The sequence below is a fragment of the Homo sapiens genome, chromosome 16 (assembly GCF_000001405.40).
Source record: "Homo sapiens chromosome 16, GRCh38.p14 Primary Assembly".
Taxonomy (NCBI): Eukaryota; Metazoa; Chordata; class Mammalia; order Primates; family Hominidae; genus Homo; species Homo sapiens.
Window position 1 is genome coordinate 58873485 of NC_000016.10, and position 7651 is coordinate 58881135.

The 7651-nt window shown below is 40.1% G+C and overlaps 1 long non-coding RNA gene across 2 annotated transcripts in view; it reads right to left on the reverse strand.

Annotated features, from left to right (window-relative positions):
• Positions 1-6836, reverse strand: part of LOC105371296 (uncharacterized) — a 32515-nt gene extending 25679 nt beyond the window's left edge. The window contains exons 1-2 of one of the 2 annotated variants that reach the window (NR_188481.1): positions 6684-6836; positions 6501-6553 (exon numbers count right to left, since the gene is read on the reverse strand). This is a non-coding gene — a long non-coding RNA (uncharacterized LOC105371296). Of the gene's footprint in view, positions 1-6394; positions 6554-6683 lie in introns of both variants that reach the window. The other variant, NR_188482.1, reaches the window with a different exon arrangement.
• Between the last annotated feature and the right edge of the window lie 815 nt (positions 6837-7651).

A 7651-nucleotide genomic window follows, 5' to 3' on the forward strand; every position in this document is an offset into this window, starting at 1 on the left:
CTGCATAGTATTGCATGGTGTATATGTGCCACATTTTCTTAATCCAGTCTATCATTGATGGACATTTGGGTTGGTTCCAAGTCTTTGGTATTGTGAATAGTGCTGCAATAAACATATGTGTGCATGTGTCTTTATAGCAGCATGATTTATAATCCTTTGAGTATATACCCAGTAATGGGATTGCTGGGTCAAATGGTATTTCTAGTTCTAGATCCTTGAGGAATCACCACACTGTCTTCCACAATAGTTGAACTAGTTTACACTCCCACCAACAGTGTCAAAGTGTTGCTATTTCTCCACATCCTCTCCAGCAGTTGTTTCCTGACTTTTTAATGATCGCCATTCTAACTGGTGTAAGATGGTGTCTCATTGTGGTTTTGATTTGCATTTCTCTGATGGCCAGTGATGATGAGCATTTTTTCATGTGTCTTTTGGCTCCATAAATGTCTTCTTTTGAGAAGTGTCTGTTCATATCCTTTGCCCGCTTTAATGGGGCTGTTTGATTTTTTTCCTGTAAATTTAAGTTCTTTGTAGATTCTGGATATTAGCCCTTTGTCAGATGAGTAGATTGCAAAAATTTTCTCCCATTCTGTAGGTTGCCTGTTCATTCTGATGGTAGTTTCTTTTGCTGTGCAGAAGCTCTTTGGTTTAATTAGATCCCATTTATCAATTTTGGCTTTTGTTGCCGTTGCTTTTGGTGTTTAAACATGAAGTCCTTGCCCATGCCAGTGTCATGAATGGTATTGCCTAGGTTTTCTTCTAGGGCTTTTATAGTTTTAGGTCTAACATTTAAGTCTTTATTCCATCTTGAATTAATTTTTGCATAAGGTGTAAGGAAGGGATCCAGTTTCAGCTTTCTACATATGGCTAGCCAGTTTTCCCAGCATAAATAGGGAATCCTTTCCCCATTTCTTGTTTTTGTCAGGTTTGTCAAAGATCAGATGGTTGTAGATGTGTGGTATTATTTCTGAGGGCTCTGTTCTGTTCCATTGGTCTATATCTCTGTTTTGGTATCAGTACCATGCTGTTTTGGTTACTATAGCCTTGTAGTATAGTTTGAAGTCAGGTAGCATGATGCCTCCAGCTTTGTTCTTTTGGCTTTGGATTATCTTGGCAATGCAGGCTCTTTTTTGGTTCCATATGAACTTCAAAGTAGTTTTTTTCCAATTATGTGAAGAAAGTCATTGGTAGCTTGATGGAGATGGCATTGAATCTATAAATTACCTTGGGCAGTATGGCCATTTTCACGATATTCATTCTTCCTATTCACGAGCATGGAATGTTCTTCCATTTGTTTGTGTCCTCTTTTATTTCCTTGAGCAGTGGTTTGTAGTTCTCCTTGAAGAGGTCCTTCACATCCCTTGTAAGTTGGATTCCTAGGTATTTTATTCTCTTTGAAGCATTTGTGAATGGGAGTTCACTCATGATTTGCCTCTCTGTCTGTTATTGGTGTATAAGAATGCTTGTGATTTTTGCACATTGATTTTGTATCCTGAGACTTTGCTGAAGTTGCCTGTCAGCTTAAGGAGATTTTGAGCTGAGATGATGGGGTTTTCTAAGTATACAATCATGTCATCTGCAAACAGGGACAGTTTGACTTCCTCTTTTCCTAATTGAATATCCTTTATTTCTTTCTTCTACCTGATTGCCCTGGCCAGAACTTCCAACGCTATGTTGAATAGGAGCGGTGAGAGAGGACATCCCTGTTTTGTGACAGTTTTCCAAGGGAATGCTTCCAGTTTTTGCCCATTCAGTATGATATTGGCTGTGGGTTTGTCATAAATAGCTCTTATTATTTTGAGATGCGTCCCATCAATGCCTAATTTATTGAGAGTTTTTAGCATGAAGGGCTGTTGAATTTTGTCAAAGGCCTTTTCTGCATCTATTGAGATAATCATGTGGTTTTTGTCTGTGGTTCTGTTTATATGCTGGATTACGTTTATTGATTTGCGTATGTTGAACCAGCCTTGTATCCCAGGGATGAAGCCCACTTAATTATGGTGGTTAAGCTTTTTGATGTGCTGCTGGATTTGGTTTGCCAGTATTTTATTGAGGATTTTTGCATTGATGTTCATCAGGGATATTGGTCTAAAATTCTCTTTTTTGGTTGTGTCTCTGCCAGGCTTTGGTATCAGGATGATGCTGGCCTCATAAAATGAGTTAGGGAGGATTCCCTCTTTTTCTATTGATTGGAATAGTTTCAGAAGGAATGGTACCAGCTCCTCTTTGTATCTCGGGTAGAATTCAGCTGTGAATCCATCTGGTCCTGGACTTTTTTTGGTTGGTAGACTATTAATTATTGCCTCAATTTCAGAGCCTGTTATTGGTCTATTCAGGTATTCAACTTCTTCCTGGTTTAGTCTTGGGAGGGTGTATGTGTCGAGGAATTTATCCATTTCTTCTAAATTTTCTAGTTTATTTTCATAGAGTTGTTTATAGTATTCTCTGATGGTGGTTTGTATCTCTGTGGGGTCGGTGGTGATATCCCCTTTATCATTTTTTATTGCATCTATTTGATTCTTCTCTCTTTTTTCTTTATTAGTCTTGCTAGCAGTCTATCAATTTTGTTGATCTTTTCAGAAAACCAGCTCCTGGATTCATTGATTTTTTTGAAGGTTTTTTTGTGTCTCTATCTCCTTCAGTTCTGCTCTGATCTTAGTTATTTCTTGCCTTCTGCTAGCTTTTGAATGTGTTTGCTCTTGCTTCTCTAGTTCTTTTAATTGTGATGTTAGGGTGTCAATTTTAGATCTTTCCTGCTTTCTCTTGTGGGCATTTAGTGCTATAAATTTCCCTTGACACACTGCTTTAAATGTGTCCCAGAGATTCTGTTGTGTTGGGTCTTTGTTCTCATTGGTTTCAAAGAACATCTTTATTTCTGCCTTCATTTCGTTATGTACGCAGTAGTCATTCAGGAGCAGGTTGTTCAGTTTCCATGTAGTTGAGCGGTTTTGAATGAATTTCTTAATCCTGAGTTCTAGTTTGATTGCACTGTGGTGTGAGAGACAGTTTGTTATAATTTCTGTTCTTTTATGTTTGCTGAGGAGTGCTTTACTTCCAACTATGTGGTCAATTTTGGAATAAGTGTGATGTGCTGAGAAGAGTGTATATTCTGTTGATTTGGGGTGGAGAGTTCTGTAGATGTCTATTAGGTCCACTTGGTGCAGAGCTGAGCTCAATTCCTGGATATGCTTGTTAACTTTCTGTCTTGTTGATCTGTCTAATGTTGACAGTGGGGAGTTAAAGTCTCCCATTATTATTGTGTAGGAGTCTAAGTCTCTTTGTAGGTCTCTAAGGACATGCTTTATGAATCTGGGTGCTCCTGTATTGGGTGCATATATATTTAGGATAGTTAGCTGTTCTTGTTGAATTGATCTCTTTACCATTACGTAATGGCCTTCTTTGTCTCTTTTGATCTTTGTTGGTTTAAAGTCTGTTTTATCCGAGACTAGGATTGCTACCCCTGCCTTTTCTTGTTTTCCATTTGCTTGGTAGATCTTCCTCCATCCCTTTATTTTGAGCCTATGTGTGTCTCTGCACATGAGGTTGGTCTCCTGAATACAGCACACTGATGGGTCTTGAGTCTTTATCCAGTTTGCCAGTCTGTGTCTTTTAATTGGAGCATTTAGCCCATTTACATTTAAGCTTAATATTGTTCTGTGTGAATTTGATCCTGTCATTGTGATATTAGCTGGTTATTTTGCTTGTTAGTTGCTGCAGTTTCTTCCTAGCATCAATGGTCTTTACATTTTGGCATGTTTTTGCAGTGGCTGGTACCGGTTGTTCCTTTCCATGTTTAGTGCTTCCTTCAGGAGCTCTTGTAAGGCAGGCCTGGTGGTGATAAAATCTCTCAGCATTTGCTTGTCTGTAAAGGATTTTATTTCACCTTCACTTATGCAGCTTAGTTTGGCTGGATATGAAATTCTGGGTTGAAAATTCTTTTCTTTAAGAATCTTGAATATTGGGCCCCACTCTCTTCTGGCTTGTAGAGTTTCTGCCGAGAGATCCGCTGTTAGTCTGATGGGCTTCCCTTTGTGGGTAACCTGATGTTTCTCTCTGGCTGCCCTTAACATTTTTTCCTTCATTTCAACTTTGGTGAATCTGACAATTATGTGTCTTGAAGTTGATCTTCTCGAGGAATATCTTTGTGGTGTTCTCTGTATTTCCTGAAGTTGAATGTTGGCCTGCCTTGCTAGGTTGGGGACGTTCTCCTGGATAATATCCTGAAGAGTGTTTTCCAACTTGGTTCCATTCTCCCCATCACTTTCAGGTACACCAATCAGACGTAGATTTGGTCTTTTCACATAGTCCCACATGTCTTGGAGGCTTTGTTCATTTCTTTTTACTCTTTTTTCTCTGAACTTCTCTTCTTGCTTTATTTCATTCATTTGAACTTTAATCACTGATACCCTTTCTTCCAGTTGATCGAATCGGCTACTGAAGCTTGTGCATGCGCCATGTAGTTCTGGTGCCATGGTTTTCAGCTCCATCAGGTCATTTAAGGTCTTCTCTACATTCTTTATTCTAGTTAGCCATTCGTCTAATCTTTTTTCAAGGTTTTTACCTTCTTTGTGATGGGTTCGAACATCCTCCTTTAGCTTGGAGAACTTTGTTATTACCGATCCTCTGAAGCCTTCTTCTCTCAACTCGTCAAAGTCATTCTCCATCCAGGTTTGTTCTGTTGCTGGCAAGGAGCTGCATTCCTTTGGAAGAGTAGAGGCCCTCTGATTTTTAGAATTTTCAGCTTTTCTGCTCTGGTTTCTCCCCATCTTTGTGGTTTTATTTTCCTTTGGTCTTTGATGATGGTGATGTACACATGGGGTTTTGGTGTGGATGTCCTTTCTGTTTGTTAGTTTTCCTTCTAACAGGATCCTCAGCTGCAGGTCTGTTGGAGTTTGCTGGAGGTCCACTCCAGACCTGTTTGCTTGGGTATCACCAGCAGAGGCTGCAGAACCACAGATACTGCAGAATGGCAAATGTTGCTGCATGATCGTTCATCTAGAAGCTTCGTCTCAGTGGGGCACCTGGCCGTATGAGGTGTCAATCGGCCCCTACTGGCAAGTGCCTCCCAGTTAGGCTACTTGGGGGTCAGGGACCCACTTGAGGAGGCAGTCTGTCTGTTCTCAGATCTCAAACTCTGTGCTGGGGGAACCACTACTCTCTTCAAAGCTGTCAGACAAGGACATTTAAGTCTGCAGAAGTTTCTGCTGCCTTTTGTTCAGCTATGCCCTGCCCCCAGAGGTGGAGTCTACAGAGGCAAGCAGGCCTTGTTTAACTGCAGTGGGCTCCACCCAGTTCGAGCTTCCTGTCCACTTTGTTTACCTACTCAAGCCTCAGCAATGGCGGATGCCCCGCCCCCAGCCTCTCTGCCACCTTGCAGTTAGATCTCAGACTGCTGTGCTGGCAGTGAGCAAGGCTCCGTGGGCGTGGGTCCCTCCAAGCCAGGCGCGGGATATAATCTCCTGGTGTGCCGTTTTCTAAGACCGTTGGAAAAGCGCAGTATTAGGTTGGGAGTGACCCAATTTTCCAGGTGCCATCTGTCACGGCTTCCCTTGGCTAGGAAAGGGAATTCCCTGACCCCTTGCACTTCCTGGGTGAGGTGATGCCCCACCCTGCTTCGGCTCACGCTCTGTGGGCTGCACCCACTGTCCTGCACCCACTGTCTGACAAGCCCCAGTGAGATGAACCCGGAACCTCAGTTGGAAATGTAGAAATCACCCATCTTCTGTGTTGCTCACGCTGGGAGCTGTAGACTGGAGCTGTTCCTGTTCGGCCATCTTGGAACCTCTCTCCTTTGCTCACTTTTTAATGGAGTTGTTTTTGTTTGTTGATTTGTTTTATTTCATTATAGATTCTGGATATTAGACCTTTGTTGGATGTATAGTTTGTGAATATTTTCTCCCATTCTGAAGGTTATCTGTTTACTCTGTTGATAGGTTTTGTGTGTGTGTGTGTGTGTGTGTGTGTGTGTGTGCGCTGTGCAGAAGCTCTTTAGTTTAATTAGGTCCAAATTTGTCAATTTTTGTTTCTGTTGTGATTTCTTTTGATGTCTTAGCCATAAATTCCTTGCCAAGGCTAATTTCCAGAATGGTATTTCCTAGGTTTTCTTCTAGAACTTTATAGTTTGAAGTCTTAGATTTAAGTCTTTGATCCATTCTGAGTTAATTTTTATATGTGGTGAAAGGTAGGGGGCCAGTTTCATTCTTCTGCATATGACTAGGCAGTTATCCCAGCAGCATTTATTAAATAGGGACTCTTTCCCCCATTGGTTAGGATATTAATGAATTTTAAAACCAATGAGATTCTACTTTACATCCAGTGGACTTACAAAAATTTCATTGGTCAGGACTTAACATTATCAAAGTTGGCAAAGATATATGAAAACAATAACTCTTACACTGTGGGAATTTCAAGAACCTCCACTTTTCTAGGTGTTTTAAACTGTTTTCCAGAGTTGAATAGCAACATAACCTTATGATCTTCCAGTACCCTCAGAGACTCACATGTGTGCAGAGAAGTTCATTGTGCAACAGTGTTGATTGCAATCTGGTTGTGGCTGGAAAGAAGAAAATAACTAATTGGAATGCATAAGTGGACATATAAACAATGGCATGCTCATTAAATGGGTTCTATTATTAGTTAGGAATTAATTAGATTGCAAGTAAAAAGAAAACCAACGACTGTACCTTAAACAAAGTGTGAATTCTGCTTTTCTCATTTGGTATGAAGTCTAGAGGCAGGGCTGCTTGTTAGGAAAGCTTTACAAAGTCATCAAGAACCCAAACTTCTTTACATCTCACTATCTCCTATCTAGCAGGCAGCTCTTTCTCTTAACGGTTACAAAATGGCTGCACTTCCACCATGAAGTACATCCGCATTCTAGGCAGGAAGTAGTAAAGAGGAAAGAAATGTGGTGGAGGTAGCTGAGCCATCAGGAACTCTCCTGAGCAAACCCAAGCCGACTTTGCTTACATCTCATTAGCTAGGACTGTGCCAGAGAGCTAAGTCTAGCTGCAAGAAGCTTGGAAAGTATTGTCTAATTTTTCAGGGCTCATGATTGCATTGAAAAATATTATGTTTCTCTTAGTAAAAAAAAAAAGGTGGGGGTCATAGTATTGGTTAGGCAGCTGGCAGTGTCTGTCCCCTCTATTTAGAAGTTGAAAAGAATAAACTTTACCCGTATTCACAACGTGGATACATCTCACAAACATAATTTGGGTAAAAAATCTAAGTAACAGAACAATATCCTGGTACGACACAATTTATATGGTTTTTAAAAAGCCACACACAAAATAAGAATATCTGTTATTTATAAATACCTTTGTATGTATTTATAAAGTAAAAACATGTTTGGGAAAGCTGTACACTTTGGGAGAGTAAGAGAGGGGAAAAAATTAGAGCTGGCCACAGAGGGAGTTTCAATTGTTTCTTTAATGTGTAATTGCTAAGTAAAAGTTCTAAGAGTAAATAAAAGAGAAATAATTATGAGCATATTTTATGAAATTATAGATAGGCACACTTCCAGGTGCCTAGTTGCAATTGTTTTCTGTTTTCAGGATCTTTTCTGTTCCAAACTTCCTAAATATAAAAGAATGGACCCTGAGGTGACAATCTAATTAAATTGATATAATCATTTTCCAAGAATGAAATCTGT